General features: G+C 39.8%; 1 protein-coding gene and 1 non-coding gene across 8 annotated transcripts in view; one reads left to right on the top strand and one right to left on the bottom strand.

Annotated features, from left to right (window-relative positions):
* The window catches only part of HSPBAP1 (HSPB1 associated protein 1), a 53,833-nt gene extending 37,019 nt beyond the window's left edge, over positions 1-16,814 (top strand). For 3 of the 7 annotated variants that reach the window (XM_017007179.2, NM_024610.6, XM_047448918.1), the window contains 4 exons: positions 1,382-1,553; positions 4,139-4,222; positions 15,700-15,810; positions 15,938-16,814. In XM_017007179.2, the coding sequence (XP_016862668.1) occupies positions 1,382-1,553; positions 4,139-4,222; positions 15,700-15,810; positions 15,938-16,468 (898 nt within the window). In that variant the 3' untranslated portion in view covers positions 16,469-16,814. Of the gene's footprint in view, positions 1-1,381; positions 1,554-1,741; positions 3,979-4,138; positions 4,223-15,699; positions 15,811-15,937 lie in introns of those variants that run through there. The other 4 variants (XM_047448919.1, NM_001320728.2, XM_005247762.3 and 1 more) reach the window with 3 other exon arrangements.
* On the bottom strand, positions 6,338-6,441 carry LOC124906363 (small nucleolar RNA U13). The gene has a single exon (XR_007096330.1). It is a non-coding gene; the product is annotated as a small nucleolar RNA U13 (small nucleolar RNA).

Raw genomic sequence — 21,488 nt, 5'->3', positions numbered from 1 at the left:
AAGCTTTAAGATTAGGCAAACAGCTTTTGAACCTCAATGGTTTTTAAGCTGATGGCCGTGTAAATTGATAGGCTGCCTTATAGCTCCGAAATGAATTTTTTTTTTTTTTTTTTTAGATACAAGGTTTTGCTTTGTCACCCAGGCTGGAGTGCAGTGGCACAATCATAGCTCACTGCTTCCTCGAACTCCTGGGCTCAAACAATCCTCCCACCTCAGCCTCCTGAGTAGCTGGGACTACAGGCACACACCATCACACCTGGCTAATTTTTTAAGAAAATTTTTTATGGGGATGAGGTATTGCTATGTTTCCCAGGCTCCGAGGTTGTTCTCTATCCTGGCCTCAAGCATTCCTTCTGCCTCGGCCTCCCAAAGTGCTGAGGTTACAGGCAGTGAGCCACCATACATGGCTTGAATGTAAATGTTTACTGAAGAGTAAAGAATTTCACTATTTCTATAAAACCTTCAAATTTCCAAAGCAAAATAAGACTTCAGCATATACTTCTTAGTTCGAAAACAGCAGCCGCTGTTTCTTGGTTCTGAAAGGACTTGATAGCCCCATTCTAACAACTGCAAGGGGTCACTAGAGGGCTTTGGGCTTCTTTTCTCAGAACTAGGTTTTTCCCTCTTTTCTCTTTGCCTCCCCATCTAGACATCTAGATGTCTGGGTCTCATTTTTTTCTCATACTTCTCTCGCTTTTGCCTCAGATGTCTTCCCTCTATTGGCATAAAGCATAGGAGTGTCTAGTGTTTTGTGAGTTAGAATTTATTACCTCCATTTTCAAAACTGTTTTAAATGACAAACATTTTAACAGTTTTCTTTGAAAATTCCTATATTATACTGCTTTATTTATGTGGCATTATTTGTGCATGTCCACTCCCTAATGGATCAACTTAACAAATGTTTAACTTAAGGAATTTATAACCCAAACAGGGAGAAGTCTGGAAACTATTTGGTGGATAGAACTATGAGTGTTTGCTCTGAATAAGATAAGAATACAGATATTTGAAAGGGTGGGGGTTATTGTGAATAGCTCTAGAGTCAGGGATGAAAACTATTTATGAGAAGGCAGACTTTGATTTGAGATAAGAAAGAATGATCTTATGAACTAGATTCTATCCCAGCAATGTAAGAGGCTGCCTCATGGATGTCCTGAGACATCCATGAGGCAGCCCCTTAGTTGCTACACAACCTTCCACCCGGTATCTGCAGAGGGATTCTAGCGCTGAGTCAGAGATGGACAGGTGACCACTGATGGTGCCTATATTCCCTTAGGGATTGAATTTAAACAAGTAAAAATGAACACTTAGCTTTTGTCTTCTTCCATGTTTTGTCTTAAGGTCAGAGTACTAACTTGTATCTTTTTTTTTTTTTTTTAATTAGGAAACGATGGCATCTCTTTCCTCCTGAAGATACTCCTTTCCTTTATCCAACTAGAATCCCTTATGAAGAATCTAGTGTGTTCAGTAAAATCAATGTTGTCAATCCTGATTTAAAGCGTTTTCCTCAGTTCCGGAAAGCTCAAAGACATGCGGTTACACTGAGCCCAGGACAGGTAATAGGGCTTTAAAACATTAATGACCTGCCAGGGGACACCACAGCTGTAACTCTCTCAAGTCCTTATGCTGTGTGCTTCCCCTCCCTGCGCAGTGCAAATGAGAATGGCTTCCTTCCCTCTGCTCTGCTGTTGGAAGGTAGCTTCCCCAGTTGTAGGCTTCAGACACATACACCTCTGCTTCACAGGTCCTGGAAAGGAAATGGCAAGAGGGAACACAGCTCCTCCTATTGGTAAAGAGGAGAATGGACTTTGGAGGAAGACAGTCTACAAGAGTCATTTTCATTTAGGTCAGGAGAAAATGTTCAAGGCATGGGTACTCGAGCATCTCTGGAACATTTAATCACAGTTAGTATCTGTTCAATTATGATAGCACTGAACCCAGACACATAAACACAGGTCGGAATGCCTCCAGGTGTGGGCCAACGGGCAGAAGGAACCGAGAATGTTTGCTTTTAAGCAAAAATGGATGTTGTTTTCATAAATTACTAACTCTGAAACATTTCCAAAGGTACTGTACATAGTGCTGCTTCCCAGTGAGGAAAATTTCCTTTTCAACATTGGCACTTGCTGTCTGATATTTCATTAATAATTTGAAAGGTTTTCTTAGTCACTTAAGAAGATTTTATTCTCTCGATTATCCCTCTCCCTTGCCTGTCTTCCATCCATTGTACCGGTCTCACTGGCTCTTTTCCTGCTTCCTTCACTCAAGTACTATCAACTCAAACAATTTCACTTGACTGAGTTGCCTCGACCTGTTAGTCACTCTGCATTCCCCTCTCCCCACAGCCCCTGACAACAACTAATCTTTTTCTATCTCTAGATTTGCCCATTCTGGACATTTCACACAGTGCAATATTATAATACAGGGCCTTCTGTGTCTGACTTCTTTCACATAGCATAATGTATTCAAGGGTCATCCACGTCATAGAATGTTACTAGCACTTCATTTCTTTTTTATGGCTGAATAATATTCCATTGTATGGATATACAACATTTTGTTTATCTGTTCATCAGTTGATGGACATTTGGGTTGTTTCTGCTTTGTTGGCTATTATAAGTAATGCTACTTTGAACATTCATGTACAAGTTTTGTGTGTACATATGTTTTCAATACTCTTGGGTATACCTAGGAGTAGAATTGCTGGGTTATATGGTAACCCTGTGTTTAACTTTTTGAGGAGTTGTCAAACTATTTTCCATAGCAGCTGTACTATTTTGCATTCCCACCAGCATTGTATGAGGGTTCCAATTTCTTTTTATCTTTCCCAACACTTGTTTTGCTTTTTTATCATTATTTTTACAGCCATTCCAGAGAGTGTGAAGTGGTTGCCAATTCATTTTCTCTTCTGTGTTTAATAGCCAAATTTGAGTGATTGGTTTTGCCTATTGTATCAGTTTTCCTTACATCCTATCCATTCTTTAATCCACTCAAACCCAGCTCTTTCTGTCACCACTTTACTGAAACTTTACTCTGATAGGACATGCATAACCTACTAATGACTATCAAGTGGCCTTTTATAGTTTCCAGTTTTCCTGAAAGGATCTCTCTTTCTATTTCCCAGTCCTGCCTTGTTCACAGCAAATACCAGTAGTTTCCTAATGTGAAGCCCAAAAGCTTCACATCATTTCCATCTACTCTGCTCTTAATAGGAAATCTCATACTGAGTCTGGATAGATGCCATCCTTCTTGACTCTGCCCATTGCTTTTGTTTATTATACCTTCCTATTTATATCTTAACGTTTAATAAGTGGACCTTTGCAAGTATCTCCTGTCCTTCTCAGACTCTCTCGATACCACTATTTTAACCATCCCCCTACTTAGAATTTCTCAACAACTCCTAGTGCCTACCAGATAAAATCTAGATTCTGAAGTCCGCTGTCCCTAAACTAATTCCCCTACCTTATCTCCCATTATTCCCTCTGTGATAGTAAGACTGACCTACTTGCTATCTTCTGTAGTCCTACCTCCCTCACCTGTACCTCTTATCCTTCCTGGCATGTCCTCATTCTTTCTGTGTCTAAATTCTCTCCTAGCCCGGGTTCAAATCACACTTCTTCCATCCATGTTGCCCCTGACCTCCCTAGTTCATGCCTGTTTCACCCACCTCTGAAATTCTGAAACACCATTGTCCCCTGATTTACCACTTCTATAATGCCACCTTTCTATACTTTATCTTCTCATTGGCTAGATTTTGAGCTGTGAGAAAACAGAAGCCACGTCCTATGTGTTTTACCTATGCCCTTTCTCAGAATGCACGCAACTATTTTGTGACGGAAAGGAGGAAAAATTAGAATCTCAGAATCATGTACTAAGATTTAGGTGCAGACAAAGAAGGCCCAGGATTAAAGAGAATAGAGATGCTGGCAGTATCCTTTGTAGAACATGTGAACTTGTCAATAAAAAAGGAATAAAAGGAAAAAAGGTTTGCGGGGTTTTTTTTCTTACTTTACTTTTCTCCAGCAATATTATTGTGAATTCATTTGTATTCCTTTTTTTCCTAGCAGCCTCAATTAGGGTCTGATTCTGACATAAAAATGAAACGTCCTGTTCTTGTGCTAACCATTCTTTGTTTGGTTTTCAGGTTCTCTTTGTTCCCAGACACTGGTGGCATTACGTAGAATCCATTGATCCTGTCACTGTCAGTATAAACTCATGGATTGAACTGGTACTTTTTCGTTGTTTTTTTTTTTTTTTTAAGTAAGTGCAAATCATGCTTTTAAAAGATATATAAGGTCTGGCTGTACAACTGGGTAATTAATTTTTTTTAACCAATGCTTCAGTATTTTTTTGTTGCAGTGCACTATAACGTATGCATTCTGTCTTCTGTTAATGGATGTTTAGGTTGGAAATTGGAATTTTAGTGGTGTGCCACTCTCTTTCTTTTAAGGACACAGAATGCGCCTGATGCTGGCATGCAGGGTCCTTTCCCTTGACCAGTGTTGTTAGGAAAATTGTATTGGGCCTGGCCAGATTTGCCGATATGTGTCCCTTGTTGCCGCTCCTCTTTCACACCATCTGGGCTGGAAATACCTGCTTCTTGGTTCAGGGTCATTACTAATTGCAGAATTCTGTCTTGGCTTCTACATATTCTCAAAGCGGAGTCTTTCTTTCAGTGCTAGGTTTTTATCATTTCATTTCTGCCAGAAGCCTTTCCCTCTGATGTGTTAAGCTTAATCCTGGTTGCCTGCTCTATTTGACAATTAGAATAGCTGCTTGTTATGCTCAAGTCTGTCTCTTCAACTGGGGCCTTAATTGCAGCTGCCTCTCTTTAACCAGAGGCCCTGACTGCATCTCTGCTCTCCTTGACCTGAAGCCTGGATTGCATCTTTCTGCTCTGTTTGACAGCCGTATCCTCTCCCTAGTCTAGTTTTTCCTATCCTTTGCTAATAGGAATGGCTTTGGAATCAGTGGAACAGAAGGAATATTGTTACAGAAAGCTATGTTGTGTGGGCTTAGTGAAGAGTTGTAGCCCTTGAGGCTTAAGTGAGAGGTATGGCAGGAGATCAGTAGCGTCACAGAAATTTCGCCTATAGCATGCTGAACTGGAGTTGCAGCAGATGTCAAGGTAGAATCCATGGAGAACTTCCACTCCCAATGCCAAAGTCATATCTACAATAGCCCTGACAGGTGCTTCACCTCCCAAGGAAGTTCGCTTGTTGTTAAAGAGTAGAGCTGTCATCTTTTTAAAATATTTGAAAATACCTCCAAGTTTTTCCATAATCTTTTCTTCTTCCATGCTCAAAACCTCTTACTTTCTTTAATGGGGTGTTTTTATGGGTGATTTTTTCCTTTTTCCAGACTTTTTACCATTCTGGCCATAGACTTTGGAATCAGGCAACTTTAAGATACAGGTTACCTTTGTTAGCTGTCTAACATAGATAATTACTTAATCTCTTCAAGCCTCCATTTTCTTGTAAAATGAGGATTATAATTGAACCCACCTCAGTAGAGTAATTGGACAACACATTGTAAAAGCATCTAATATAGTGCGTGGCATATGGGAAGTGTTTAAAAAGTAGAAATTGCTATGAGGAGGAGGGAGAGCTATTATGTCAAGAATAGTTCTCTTAATATATAGTGCCTAAAACTGAATATCAGTAGGCCTTATTTGGTAGAGTATAAGATTTCTACCCCACATGATCTCGATCCTAAATATCTCCAGTGCTGCTTGTAATATTGGGTTAGTTTTTTAAGTAATCTCATCTCACTTTAGTTTCATATTCAACTTTAAAATATCTGTGATTTTTTTTCACATGATCTGCTGTCAGGCAGGTTGAATCCTATCCTGTACCTATAAAGCTGATTTTAATTCTAAATCCAGTATTTCACAGTCATCCCTGTTAATTTTCATCATATTGGTTTGGTTGAGCATTCCAGCTTGACAAGATAATTTTAAATTTGGGTCTTATCTGTCATTTTAGTGAAACTTCAAGCTGGCCTGTGCCCTTTTGATATGTCCCCGTTAATTAGACTTTGAGTGTATCCTGGCTTTCTGGCACAGGAAGATATCCCAGGATACCCTTTCTCCTTTAGTGCCCCACACTTGGAAGTCAATCATTTCTCCAGGTAGCCACAGTTCTTTTTGTAGGAAATGGCATTTAGAAACTGAGATCTCAGCTCTAAATCTGTTCATTGCTCCTGGGTGTCAGTGTTTCTAGGCTCTTTCAGTGATGTAGCTAGAATGTGAGATAGATAGATAGATTAGATAGATAGATAGATAGATAGATAGATAGATAGATATTGATGTATTTATATTTCTAATTCATGTGTTTAAAAAATATATCTAGACAGGTAATATGCTGACGTCATAACAAGGCTTAAGGGAGGCATGTCTCACACATGAGCATGACACCCAATCATCAGACTTATGAACTATAAAAGTATCTAATTCAAGTTTAACATGATAGAATTTTTTATTTGTTTCTGTATTTTTATCTCTTCTCTTAACACTGAAAATCTGGGTCCTTAAAAACAGTAACATAAGGCCGGGCACGGTGGCTTACGCCTGTAATCCCAGCACTTTGGGAGGCCGAGGTGGGTGGATCATGAGGTCAAAAGATCGAGACCATCCTGGCCAACATGGTGAAACCCTATCTCTACTAAAAATGCAAAAATTAGCTGGGCATAGTGGCACGCACCTGTAATCCCGGCTATTCGGGAGGCTGAGGCAGGAGAATCGCTTGAACCAGGGAGACAGAAGTTGCAGTGAGCCGAGATCAAGTCACTGCACTCTGGCCTGGCAACAGAGCGAGTCTCTGTCTCAAAAAAAAAAAAAAAGAAAGAAAACCAGTAACATATTTACTTGTTTGCTGTATCCAGCAATATATTTTTTAAGATATCAAATTTGGCCGGGTGCAGTGGCTCACACCTATAATCCCGGCACTTTGGGAGGCCGAGGCGGGCAGATCACATGGTCAGGAGATTGAGACCATCCTGGCCAACATGGTGAAACCCCTTCTCTACTAAAAAAATACAAAAAATTAGCCGGGCATGGTGGCGCATGCCTGTAGTTCCAGCTACTCAGGAGGCTGAGGCAGGGGAGTCACTTGAACCCAGGAGGTGGAGGTTGCAGTGAGCTGAGATCGCGCCATTGCACTCTAGCCTGGTGACAGAACAAGACTCCATCTCAAAAAAAGAAAAAGATGTCAAATTTATGTTTCCAAAATTCAAATAGTAATATTACTACTAACCATAAAGCTTGCAAGTAAAAATTAAGATTTCTTTGCAATTCTTTTTATTATTAGACTGTATCTATCACTAAGAGGGATAGATACAAAGTCCTTTATTCAGGAGTCATTGTGAAGGAATTCTTTTCATTTATGGTTATTTTACTAATTGGATATTTAGTTAAGTTCATTTGTTTCAGTTTGTTTTCAATTTTAGGATTTACCTTTTTAAAATTTTGATCTAATTTAATATTTTAAATATGTAGAACATTTAACTTGTCAAAACTATGTTAAAAGTTATACTCAGGGAAGTCTGCCTTTCATCCCTGTTCCATCCACTCCATTTTTCCCAACCTTTATAGAGATCCATTTTTATTCATTTCTGGTTTATCATTTCCAGTGTTTCTTGTAAACATATATATCTATATCTATATATAAAAGTAAGTAAATGAATAGATATATTTATATATGTAAATAAGTATATAAACAGTCTTATATGTACAAAGTGCATAAGCATATAAATATGTCTTTACTTATTTATATACTTATTCAAATATATTTTAAATTTTCTATCCTTTATTCCATAGAAAGTAATAAACTATAGTGTTCCATACCTTGCTTTTTTCAACAATAATATCTTGAATTTCACTACATAATAGTACAGAGAAATATTCATATTTTTCTTCAACCACTGTCTAGTACTTCACTGTATGGGTGCTCTACTGTTCATTAGTTCCTTTAAGGATAGATGTTTGGGTTGTTTCCAGTCTTTTGTAATTACAAATAATGCCACTGAATAACCTTGTGCATATGTTGTTTTATATTTGTTGAAGTGTGTCTTTGGGGGAGATCTTAACAATGGATTTGCCATGTCATAGGGTAAATGTATCTTTAATTTTGTTAGGTTTTGCCAAATTCAGCTTCATTGTGATTGTGCCATTTTGCATTTCCATTAGTAGTATGTGAAAGTGCTTGTTTCCTCCACAGCCTCACCAACAAAATCTGTTGTTGAACTTTATTGTTTTTGAGTCATAATTAGAAACCAAGGTCATATGACCCTTTCCAGGTCATAAAGGAATTCACCAATGTTTTGTGTTAGAATTTAGATTGTTTCATGTTTTTTGCATTTCGATCTCTTATCCATTTGGAAGTTTTTCACTAGGATATAGTATAAGTTTGAGATCTAATTTTTTTTTCTTTTTTTTTTTTTAATTGATCATTCTTGGGTGTTTCTCACAGAGGGGGATTTGGCAGGGTCATAGGACAATAGTGGAGGGAAGGTCAGCAGATAAACAAGTGAACAAAGGTCTCTGGTTTTCCTAGGCAGAGGACCCTGCGGCCTTCCGCAGTGTTTGTGTCCCTGGGTACTTGAGATTAGGGAGTGGTGATGACTCTCAACGAGCACGCTGCCTTCAAGCGTCTGTTTAACAAAGCACATCTTGCACCACCCTTAATCCATTTAACCCTGAGTGGACACAGCACATGTTTCAGAGAGCACAGGGTTGGGGGTAAAGTCACAGATCAACAGGATCCCAAGGCCGAAGAATTTTTCTTAGTACAGAACAAAATGAAAAGTTTCCCATGTCTACTTCTTTCTACACAGACACGGCAACCATCCGATTTCTCAATCTTTTCCCCACCGTTCCCCCCTTTCTATTCCACAAAACCGCCATTGTCATCATGGCCCGTTCTCAATGAGCTGTTGGGTACACCTCCCAGACGGGGTGGCGGCCGGGCACAGGGGCTCCTCACTTCCCAGTAGGGGCGGCTGGGCAGAGGCGCCCCTCACCTCCCGGACGGGGCGGCTGGCCGGGCGGGGGGCTGACCCCCCCACCTCCCTCCGGGACGGGGCGGCTGGCCGGGCAGAGGGGCTCCTCACTTCCCAGTAGGGGCGGCTGGGCAGAGGCGCCCCTCACCTCCCGGACGGGGCGGCTGGCCGGGCGGGGGGCTGACCCCCCCACCTCCCTCCCAGATGGGGCGGCTGGCCGGGCGGGGCGCTGACCCCCCACCTCCCTCCCGGACGGGGCGGCTGGCCGGGCAGGGGGCTGACCCCCACCTCCCTCCGAGACGGGGCGGCTGGCCGGGAGGGGGGCTGACCCCCCCGACCTCCCTCCCAGACAGGGCGGCTGGCCGGGCGGAGACGCTCCTCACTTCCCAGACGGTGTGGTTGCCGGGCGGAGGGGCTCCTCATTTCTCAGATGGGGCGGTTGCCAGGCGGAGGGTCTCCTCACTTCTCAGACGGGGCGGCCGGGCAGAGACGCTCCTCACTTCCTAGATGGGGTCGCGGCCGGGCAGAGGCGCTCCCCACATCTCAGACGATGGGCGGCCGGGCAGAGACGCTCCTCACTTCCTAGATGGGATGGCAGCCGGGAAGAGGCACTCCTCACTTCCTAGATGGGATGGCGGCCGGGCAGAGATGCTCCTCACTTTCCAGACTGGGCAGCCGGGCAGAGGGGCTCCTCACATCCCAGACGATAGGCGGCCAGGCAGAGATGCTCCTCACTTCCCAGATGGGGTGGCGGCCGGGCAGAGGCTGCAATCTCGGCACTTTGGGAGGCCAAGGCAGGCGGCTGGGAGGTGGAGGTTGTAGCGAGCCGAGATCACGCCACTGCACTCCAGCCTGGGCACCATTGAGCACTGAGTGAACGAGACTCCGTCTGCAATCCCAGCACCTCGGGAGGCCGAGGCTGGCAGATCACTCGCGGTTAGGAGCTGGAGACCAGCACGGCCAACACAGTGAAACCCCATCTCCACCAAAAAAATACGAAAACCAGCCAGGCGTGGCGGCGCGCGCCTGCAATCGCAGGCACTCGGCAGGCCGAGGCAGGAGAATCAGGCAGGGAGGTTGCAGTGAGCCGAGATGGCAGCAGTACAGTCCAGCTTCGGCTCGGCATCAGAGGGAGACCGTGGAAAGAGAGGGAGAGGGAGACCGTGGGGAGAGGGGAGAGGGGAGAGGAGAGAGAGAGGAGAGAGGAGAGAGGAGAGAGCTGAGATCTAATTTTATCTTTTCCAAAATGGTAATAGGATTGTCAGGACCATCATTTATTTTACAGTTTGTTTTCCCTTCATGATTTGAAATGTCTGTTTAATCATATACTAGATACCTGAACATATCTGGGTCTATTTTGTCCATTGGTCTTTCTGCCTATTTATTTAGTGAGGTCTTATGTTTTAACATCAGTAGGACTGACCATTGCTTTGTTTTGCAGGGTTTTTCTGGCTATTCTTGCCTCTGTTTTTTTAATGTGTTCTTTAAAATCAGCTTGTCTAGCTTTAGGAAAAAAAAAAAAAACCTTTTGATTTTTTTTTTGATCCATATTAAATTTTATCTGAGCTTTATGATGTTGAATTGTTCTGTCCACAAATTAGGTGCCTTTCCATGTATCCAAGTTCAGTTTTGTTTGTTTTTGTTTTTACAGCTGTGTTTTAAAGTTTTCCTCACATAAGCTTTGCACATTTCTTTTAAATGTTTATTCCTAAATACAGTAGTATCTCCTTATCCTCGGGGGATATATTCCAAGATCCCCAGTGGATTACTGAAACCCCGAGTATTACCAAACCCGATTGTAATCAGTCAACACTTTTCTGTTCATGCCTTCCACCTACAAATGTAATGTCTTAGCTAAGATGCAAACTTAATCCATTTTAACTAAGCACTTATGCACTGTGGCTGCAGCTTTTGCAGTTTGAGGTGTGATAGCAAAACTACCATAATTTTTTCTCTTGACAGTTTTGTAGATAGAAGATTTCTTCTTACCATAGACCTTAGTAACCTCAGCATGCTGGTTTTCCTTCTCCTTATTAAGTCGAGAACTTTCACCTTTTCACTTAAAGGAAGCACTTTATGCCTTGTCTTTGGCATATCCAAATTGCCAGCATCACAACTCTTGTACTTTGGGGCTATTATTAAGTAAAATAAGGGTTCCTTGAATATAGGCACTGCAAATACCATGACAGTGATCTGATCACTGAGCTAACTACTGAGTGACTCAGAGGCAGGTGATGTATACTGTGTGGAGTGGAATGGTGAGAGATTTCATCACACTACTCAGAATTGCATGAAACTTAAAGCTTATAAATTGTTTAATTCTGGAATTTTTCACTTAATATTTTCTGACTGAGATTGCCCACGGGTAACTGAAACTGTGGAAAGCGAAACTGCAGATAAGGGCGGACTGCCATATTTCATCTTTTTTTGCTGCTAGGGTAAGGTCTTCTCTTCCATTCTGTCTTCTAACTGGATATTATTAGTGTATATGATAGCTATTGATTTTTGTGTTAATTTGAATTATTTTATTTTGTGGTAGTTTTATATTGACTTTCTGGGGTTTTCAGGTATCTCTCAGATTACCTGAAAATTAAGATAGTTTTTCTTCTTCCTTTCTAATTTGTTTGCCTATAATTGTGGGGTGGGGGTGGAGATTTGGTCTGATTACATTGGCTAATCCATCCAATTCATTAATAATAGGGGAGATAGTGGGCATCCTTGTCTTGTTCCTGACTATGAAATGCTAGATTTGCGGCTGAGTTGTATGTGTTTTATCATATTAAGTATCCATCAATTTCTATTTCATTACTTTTTGTTTTTTTCAAAATCAGGAAAAGGTATTGAATTTTGTTGAATTGATAAAGATGATTACATAATATTCTTCTTTAGTAAACACCTGATATTGCAATAAATTATATCAATTGATTGCCTAATATTGATTCATCCTTAATTTCTGGAGTAAATACCACTTGGTTTTGATATACTGTTTTTAATACTGTTTGTTCATATTTTATTTAGATATGCATTTACATGGCCTCAATAACATGAAAGACTTCACCACAGTGTTTTAAAAGGCTTATTATATACTATTTAGTCATCTTTTGTATAATTTTCCAAAGGATTAGTATCGTTGACTATAAACAGACTCCAAGGTAGTACTTAGAAGTATGGTAGCTAAGAACTTCATGCTGATTTCAAGTGGATGATTTCTGTCCTTCACCAAACCAGACCTCCAGTTCCTTCTTCAACATCTTTCTGTATAATTCTGTTTGAAGGCCATTCAATGTTTATTGAAAAACTGGAATGCACAACTGGAGTTAAATAATCATATCTTTCTCTGTCATATGTTGCTTTTATCATTGTCTCTTCAACATTGGACAATAATTCCTTCTTTTTGCCAAATTTAGCTCCAAAAAGCTCATAGGTTTTAGAGCCTACCATACTTATATAACTCAAGTTAACCCCAGGTTCTGATATTGCTTTCATGAATCACATACTTGGAAAAGAGTAGAGATTTTAGCTCTGTTCAAGTGGTGCAGGATCCATTTCTTCTTGGCTGGTGCCTTTTCATCTTTTTCACCTCCTTATTCGAGTATTGAAATGTATTTATCAGTATTTTTTCTAAACATTTTTAGAAAATATTTTGTTAATTTTAAAGCTTTTTCTCATTCTCAGCATTTTTCCTTTGTTATATCTTTTGTTATATTTATACATATAAAAGAATATGTAACATAATATATAATACAACGAGCACCAGTAAACTCATTACCTAACCCGAAAACTAGAATTTTTTATTTTTTTATTTTTTAGAGATGGAATCTCATTCTGTTGCCCAGGCTGGAGTGCAGTGGTGCAGTCATAGCTCACTGCAGCGTCAAACTCTTGGCCTCAAGCAGTACTTCCACTTTGGCCTCCAAAAGTGCTGGGATTACAGGCATGAGCCACCATGCCCAGCCTAGAATTTTATCAGTAACTTGCATTTGTGCTGTGTTCTTCCCAATCCCTTTCCTGTCTGTTCCGTTCACTCTCCTCATTCTCTTGTTTAAACAAAAAAGTTTTGTCACATTATCTGTCCATCTATCCATCTGTCTTATCTCTGTACACATATGCACACATATATATTTTTTTCTATTGGTTCTCTTTCTTTGGAGAACCTTGACTGATATACCATATGACCCAGCAATTCCATTCCTAGGTGTATACCCAAGAAAAATGAAAATATATGTCCACACAAAAACTTTTTTTTTTGTTGTTTGAGACAAAGTTTCGCTCTTGTTGCCCAGGCTGGAGTGCAATGGCTCGATCTCGGCCCACCGCAACCTCCGCCTCCCAGGTTCAGGCAATTCTCCTGCTTCAGCCTCCTGAGTAGCTGGGATTAAAGGCATGCACCACCAGGCCCAGCTAATTTTGTATTTTTAGTAGAGACGGGGTTTCTCCAAGTTGAAGCTGGTCTCGAACTCCTGACCTCAGGTGATCCACCCGCCTTGGCCTCCCAAAATGCCAGGATTACAGGTGTGAGCCACCGTGCCTGGCCCACACAAAAACTTCTACACGAATGTTTACAGTAGTAGTATTCATAATAGCCCAAAGTGACACAACTCAAATATCAATCATCTGATGAGTGGATAAACAAAATGTGGTATATGTGTACAATGGAATGTTTTTCAACTATCACAAGGAATGAAATACTGATGCATGCTATAGCCTGGCTAAATCTTATGGTATATAATGAATCTAATGTTATGTGTTATGTCTGTATCTGGTTATCTGACTGTATCTTCTGTTGGTTCTGTTTCTCTGAGGAACTCCGATACACCATATGATCCAGTAATCCCATTCGTATGAGTATATACGTAGATAGATATCTTTACATGATGTCTACATGTACGTAAATGTAGATATCTATAAATACATAGATAGAAATGTCTGTATTTATATAGAGAACAAGAGATTGAGATTTACTTTAAGGAATGGGCTTACTTGATTGTAGTGGCTGGCATGTCTGAAATTTGTAGGGCAGGCTGGCAGGCTGGAAACTCACATAGGACTTCTATTACAGTCTTGAGGCAGAATTTTTTTCTCTAAGACATCTCAGTTTTTGCTCTTAAGGACTTCAACTAATTGGGTAAGGACCACATACATTATTGAGTATAATCTCCTTTACATAAAGTCAGTTGATTGTAAATGCTAATAATATCTTCAAGTTATCTTCACAGCAACATCCAGATTATTGTTTGACCAAACAACTGGGTGCTATTGTCTAGCCACCTTGACTCAAAATTAATCATTACATATGGTAACTCTGTGTTTAACCTTTTGAGGAACTCCCAGGTTTCTGAAGCACCATTTTACATTCCCACCAGCAATGTATGAAGATTCTGATTTCTCTGCATCCTCACCAACACTTGTTAATATCTGTCTTTTTTTTATTAGCACTATCCTGGTGTGAAGTCATATCTCATCATGGAGATTTGCTTTTTTAAGTTCAATATTGTGTTTCTAAGATTCATTTGTGTTGTCACATGTAAGCTGTTCATTCCTTTTCACTGTGATATAATACTGTGTTAAGGTAGCCCATAATTTATTCATTATTAATATTTATTCATTGTTACTATTTTAGTTACTATTCATATATTAATATATGTATATATATCAATAATTTATTATATTTATAATAATTTATATATTATTCATTGTTCTATTGATGGATGATTCAGTGTTCAATTTTTTGCTTCTATGAACAGAATATTCTTGTACATGTTTCCTGGCACACATGTGCAAAAGTTTATCTAGACTGTGTATAAATCTCAGAGTGGTATTGCTGGTCCATAGGGTATACAATACTCAAGTTTACGAGATAATGCCACCCATGTTTTCCAAATGTCTCTATCAGTTTGCTTTCCCATTAGTGTATAAGACTTTTGTCTCTCAATGTCCCACTTGGAACTATCAGGCCCCTTTTTGCCAATTTCATGGATTTCTCAATTTGCACTTCCCTGGAGGCTAAACATATCTTCATATGTTTATTAGTCCTCTGATTGCTCCTTTTTAAAATGCTTATCATTGTGTCTTTTGCCCATTTTTTAAAATTTGCTCATTTCTCTTATTGATATGTGTAGATTATTCTACACATTAATATTTTATCAGTTATATATGTTACAGGCATCTAGTTTGTTTTTTTCCTTTGTGGTGTTTTTTCGTAAACAGAAGTTGTTGATTTTAATGCAGTTCCTCATTAATGCTATACCTTATATTTACTCTGTCTTAAAGCCACGTTTAGATGGATAGCCATCTCATTCTTGTAGCCAAGCATGTTTATTGTAATTTTTCTTCCATCTCTGAAATAATTTGCTTGTCAGACTCTATAGGGATTATTCCTCTGTATGTGGTACTTTAAAAAAAAAACTTTAAACATGTCAAATAATGGAAAAGATTGGAGAAAATATCATAAGGTGATTCATACTTAAGGCCATGACTTATAGATAGAATACATACTTAAATTTGATTGGTGAAATATTCTGCAGCTCTTCTAGATGGCAGGTGATAGTAAATACACAAAAATTGTGGTTCTACCAATAGCATATTCATTCCTTCTATAACAAAGCTTATATTAATGAGAGAACAGAAGATGAAATTAAAACAGACTTTATTATCTCTTAAAAAGCCATGAGACTTAACAGAAGTTAAAAGCGTGTTTTTTTAATTCAGGAAGAGGATCACCTAGCCCGGGTAGAAGAGGCAATCACCCGTATGCTTGTGTGTGCCCTGAAAACTGCAGAGAATCCACAAAATACCAGAGCCTGGTTAAACCCCACTGAGGTAGGCGGCTTCTGGTCTTCATCATGGCAGTTAGTTTCCTGTGGTAAACCAGCCCTGACTAGAACATATGTTTTCCAGTGTAACTAAATGTATGTAACCATTTTAAAAGGTTTTTCTCTTCCCTTAGGTTGAGGAAACGTCCCATGCAGTCAACTGTTGCTACTTAAATGCAGCTGTTTCTGCATTTTTTGATCGCTGCAGAACATCTGAGGTAGTAGAAATCCAAGCACTGAGAACAGATGGAGAGCACATGAAAAAGGAAGAATTAAATGTGTGCAACCACATGGAGGTGGGCCAAACAGGTAGCCAGAACTTGACCACAGGAACAGACAAACCGGAGGCAGCAAGTCCCTTTGGCCCTGATCTGGTCCCTGTAGCACAGAGGTCCGAAGAACCGCCTTCAGAAAGAGGAGGCATATTTGGAAGTGATGGGAAAGACTTTGTGGACAAGGATGGAGAACACTTTGGAAAATTGCATTGTGCCAAGAGACAACAAATAATGAGCAACAGTGAAAATGCAATTGAGGAACAGATTGCCTCAAATACTACTACGACTCCTCAAACATTCATTTCTACGGATGACTTGCTGGACTGCTTGGTGAATCCACAAGTAACCAGGATAGTGGCACAACTTTTGATACAAGGAAGAAGTTTATGATTCAAGTGGAAGATGACTTTTAAAATAATATTTTTTAAATATATATTTTTAAGTAGTATGACTAAAATAAAGATGAACCAGCAAAAGGTCAGTTTGCACATTTGTAAATGTATTTATCCTTACCGAATTACATGTCAGTCTGTTGCCACCTTCTTTCATGCACATTCCTCTTTGGCCAAACTGGCTGCTCTTTGTTTGTAAGCTTTTGTTCCTCTCTCATCCCATACTTTTAGCCTGTGTCAAATGTAAGTCCCAAGTATTTCCAGCAGGAAGTAATGTCTTCCTCAGCCTCAACCAGGGACCAACCGGCTGCTTACTTTTGCAAATAAAATTTTACTAGAACACGGCCATGCCATTCATTTACATATTGTCTATGATGTCTTCAGGATTACGACGGCAGTGTTGAGTAGTGACAGAGAGTGTATGGCCCAGAAAAAATATTCAGTATCTGTTCCTTTACAGAAAAGCTTTGTCAGCCTCTGGTCTAATGGATCCAGTGGGTCTGGAGTCTAGCCTCGCTCTGAAGTGATCTCACTTGTAACAGCTGCAGAATTCTCACTGGTTATCCCCTGTCATTCAGAGTAGGATACCAATCAGGAGAAAAGTAGTTGTGGGTTCAGTATGAGGCCTCTTTAGGCAAGGAACTTGGACATCTAGGGACACCAATCCTAGGGCTAAAAAGGACTCAAACTCCCCAAACAGTGACTAAAGGCTTAGCTCAGTGAAATTGATCCCACTCTCATTACATTTGCAAGATCCAGGGATAATTAATTACCATTACTGTCTAAGAAGGAATTTAGAAATTAGAAAAGCATATTGATCTCTGAGTAACCATGCATGAAACAAATACACAACAGAAAAGATATGCAAAGTCACCTTTGAGATGAACTGATTGCTGGCTATCCTACTGTCCTCGAGGTAATGAGTATCAGTAAATCCAAAGAAAGTATGTGTTGTCACAGAGGGAAGGAGGGTATTGTTATGTAAGCATGCCAGGGAAAGAAGGGCCTGAAAAGAGCCCTTCTGTGGCTTTTATCTCCATCGGACCACTATGTATTTACCTATGAATTTCATTACTATCTCTCTCAACCAAAATGTAACTCCTTAAGGGTAGGGACTGTGATTATTGCTGTTATTTGTAGAGCCGCAATGAGTACCCAGCATGTAGTAGGTGCTTATTAAATATTTGAATGAATGAATAATAAAAATGAGACCTCATTGACAATACCTCATCAAGTACATTGGGACAGAGAATGTGGCCAAAGTAAGGTAGCTGTGATTCTTGGTATAGTCCTTTATTTATTTATTTATTTATTCATTCATTTTATTATTATTGTACTTTAAGTTTTACAGTGCATGTGCACAATGTACAGGTTTGTTACATGTGTATACATGTGCCATGTTGGTGTACTGCACCCATTAACTCATCATTTAGCATTAGGTGTATCTCCTAATGCTATCCCTCCCCCTCCCCCCACCCCACAACAGGCCCCGGTGTGTGATGTTCCCCTTCCTATGTCCATGTGTTCTCATTGTTCAATTCCCACCTATGAGTGAGAACGTGCAGTGTTTGGTTTTTTGTCCTTGCGATAGTTTGCTGAGAATGATGATTTCCAGTTTCATCCATGTCCCTACAAAGGACATGAACTCATCCTTTTTTATGGCTGCATAGTTTTCCATGGTGTATATGTGCCACATTTTCTTAATCCAGTCTATCGTTGTTGGACATTTGGGTTGGTTCCAAGTCTTTGCTATTGTGAATAGTGCCGCTATAAACATACGTGTGCATGTGTCTTTATAGCAGCATGATTTATAGTCCTTTGGGTATATACCCAGTAATAGGATGGCTGGGTCAAATGGTATTTCTAGTTCTAGATCCTTGAGGAATCGCCACACTGACTTCCACAATGGTTGAACTAATTTACAGTCCCACCAACAGTGTAAAAGTGTTCCTATTTCTCCATATCCTCTCCAGCACCTGTTGTTTCCTGATGTTTTAATGATCACCATTCTAACTGGTGTGAGATGGTATCTCATTGTTTTGATTTGCATTTCTCTGATGGCCAGTGATGATGAGCATTTTTTCATGTGTTTTTTGGCTGCATAAATGTCTTCTTTTGAGAAGTGTCTGTTCATGTCCTTTGCTCACTTTTTGATGGGGTTGTTTGTTTTTTTCTTGTAAATTTGTTTGAGTTCATTGTAGATTCCGGATATTAGCCGTTTGTCAGATGAGTAGGTTGTGAAAATTTTCTCCCATTCTGTAGGTTGCCTGTTCACTCTGATGGTAGTTTCTTTTGCTGTGCAGAAGCTCTTTAGTTTAATTAGATCCCATTTGTCAATTTTGGCTTTTGTTGCCATTGCTTTTGGTGTTTTAGACATGAAGTCCTTGCCCATGCCTACGTCCTGAATGGTATTGCCTAGGTTTTCTTCTAGGGTTTTTATGGTTTTAGGTCTAACATGTAAGTCTTTAATCCATCTTGAATTAATTTTTGTATAAGGTGTAAAGAAGGTATCCAGTTTCAGCTTTCTACATATGGCTAGCCAGTTTTCCCAGCACCATTTATTAAATAGGGAATCCTTTCCCCATTTCTTGTTTTTGTCAAGTTTGTCAAAGATCAGATAGTTGTAGATATGTGGCATTATTTCTGAGGGCTCTGTTCTGTTCCATTGATCTATATCTCTGTTTTGGTACCAGTACTATGCTGTTTTGGTTACTGTAGCCTTGTATAGTTTGAAGTCAGGTAGCGTGATGCCTCCAGCTTTGTTCTTTTGGCTTAGGATTGACTTGGCGATGCGGGCTCTTTTTTGCTTCCATATGAACTTTAAAGTAGTTTTTTCCAATTCTGTGAAGAAAGTCATTGGTAGCTTGATGGGGATGGCATTGAATCTATAAATTACCTTGGGCTGTATGGCCATTTTCATGATATTGATTCTTCCAACCGATGAGCATGGAATGTTCTTCCATTTGTTTATATCCTCTTTTATTTCATCGAGCAGTGGTTTGTAGTTCTCCTTGAAGAGGTCCTTCACATCCCTTGTAAGTTGGATTCCTAGGTATTTTATTCTCTTCGAAGCAATTGTGAATGGGAGTTCACTCATGATTTGGCTCTCTGTCTGTTATTGGTGTATAAGAATGCTTGTGATTTTTGCACATTGATTTTGTATCCTGAGACTTTGCTGAAGTTGCTTATCAGCTTAAGGAGATTTTGGGCTGAGACAGTGGGGTTTTCTAGATATACAATCATGTCATCTGCAAACAGGGACAATTTGACTTCCTCTTTTCCTAATTGAATACCCTTTATTTCCTTCTCCTGCCTAATTGCCCTGGCCAGAACTTCCAACACTATGTTGAATAGAAGTGGTGAGAGAGGGCATCCCTGTCTTGTGCCAGTTTTCAAAGGGAATGCTTCCAGTTCTTGCCCATTCAGTATGATATTGGCTGTGGGTTTGTCATAGATAGCTCTTATTATTTTGAGATACATCCCATCAATACCTAATTTATTGAGAGTTTTTAGCATGAAAGGTTGTTGAATTTTGTCAAAGGCCTTTTCTGCATCTATTGAGATAATCATGTGGTTTTTGTCTTTGGTTCTGTTTATATGCTGGATTACATTTATTGATTTTCGTATATTGAACCAGCCTTGCATCCCAGGGATGAAGCCCACTTGATCATGGTGGATAAGCTTTTTGATGTGCTGCTGGATTCGGTTTGCCAGTATTTTATTGAGGATTTTTGCATCAATGCTCATCAAGGATATTGTTCTAAAATTCTCTTTTTTTGTTGTGTCTCTGCCAGGCTTTGGTATCAGGATGATGCTGGCCTCATGAAATGAGTTAGGGAGGATTCCCTCTTTTTCTATTGGTTGGAATAGTTTCAGAAGGAATGGTACCAGCTCCTCCTTGTACCTCTGGTAGAATTCGGCTGTGAATCCATCTGGTCCTGGACTCTTTTTGTTGGTAAACTATTGATTATTGCCACAATTTCAGAGCCTGTTATTTGTCTATTCAGAGATTCAACTTCTTCCTGGTTTAGTCTTGGGAGGATGTATGTGTCGAGGAATTTATCCATTTCTTCTAGATTTTCTAGTTTATTTGTGTAGAGGTGTTTGTAGTATTCTCTGATGGTAGTTTGTATTTCTGTGGGATCGGTGGTGATATCCCCTTTATCATTTTTTATTGCGTCTATTTGATTCTTCCCTCTTTTCTTCTTTATTAGTCTTGCTAGCGGTCTATCAATTTTGTTGATCTTTTCAAAAAACCAGCTCCTGGATTCATTAATTTTTTGAAGGGTTTTTTGTGTCTCTATTTCCTTCAGTTCTGCTCTGATTTTAGTTATTTCTTGCCTTCTGCTAGCTTTTGAATGTGTTTGCTCTTGCTTTTCTAGTTCTTTTAATTGTGATGTTAGGGTGTCGATTTTGGATCTTTCCTGCTTTCTCTTGTGGGCATTTAGTGCTATAAATTTCCCTCTACACACTGCTTTGAATGTGTCCCAGAGATTCTGGTATGTTGTGTCTTTGTTCTCGTTGGTTTCAAAGAACATCTTTATTTCTGCCTTCATTTCGTTATGTACTCAGTAGTCATTCAGGAGCAGGTTGTTCAGTTTCCATGTAGTTGAGCAGTTTTGAGTGAGTTTCTTAATCCTGAGTTCTAGTTTGATTGCACTGTGGTCTGAGAGACAGTTTGTTGTAATTTCTGTTCTTTTACATTTGCTGAGGAGTGCTTTACTTCCAACTATGTGGTCAATTTTGGAATAGGTGTGGTGTGGTGCTGAAAAAAATGTATATTCTGTTGATTTGGGGTGGAGAGTTCTGTAGATGTCTGTTAGGTCCGCCTGGTGCAGAGCTGAGTTCAATTCCTGGGTATCCTTGTTAACTTTCTGTCTCGTTGATCTGTCTAATGTTGACAGTGGGGTGTTATACTCTCCCAGTATTATTGTGTGGGAGTCTAAGTCTCTTTGTAGGTCACTCAGGACTTGCTTTATGAATCTGGGTGCTCCTGTATTGGGTGCATATATATTTAG

Source organism: Homo sapiens, chromosome 3 (assembly GCF_000001405.40).
Source record: "Homo sapiens chromosome 3, GRCh38.p14 Primary Assembly".
NCBI classification, from domain to species: Eukaryota; Metazoa; Chordata; class Mammalia; order Primates; family Hominidae; genus Homo; species Homo sapiens.
This window is presented reverse-complemented; position numbering and strand designations above follow the sequence as displayed.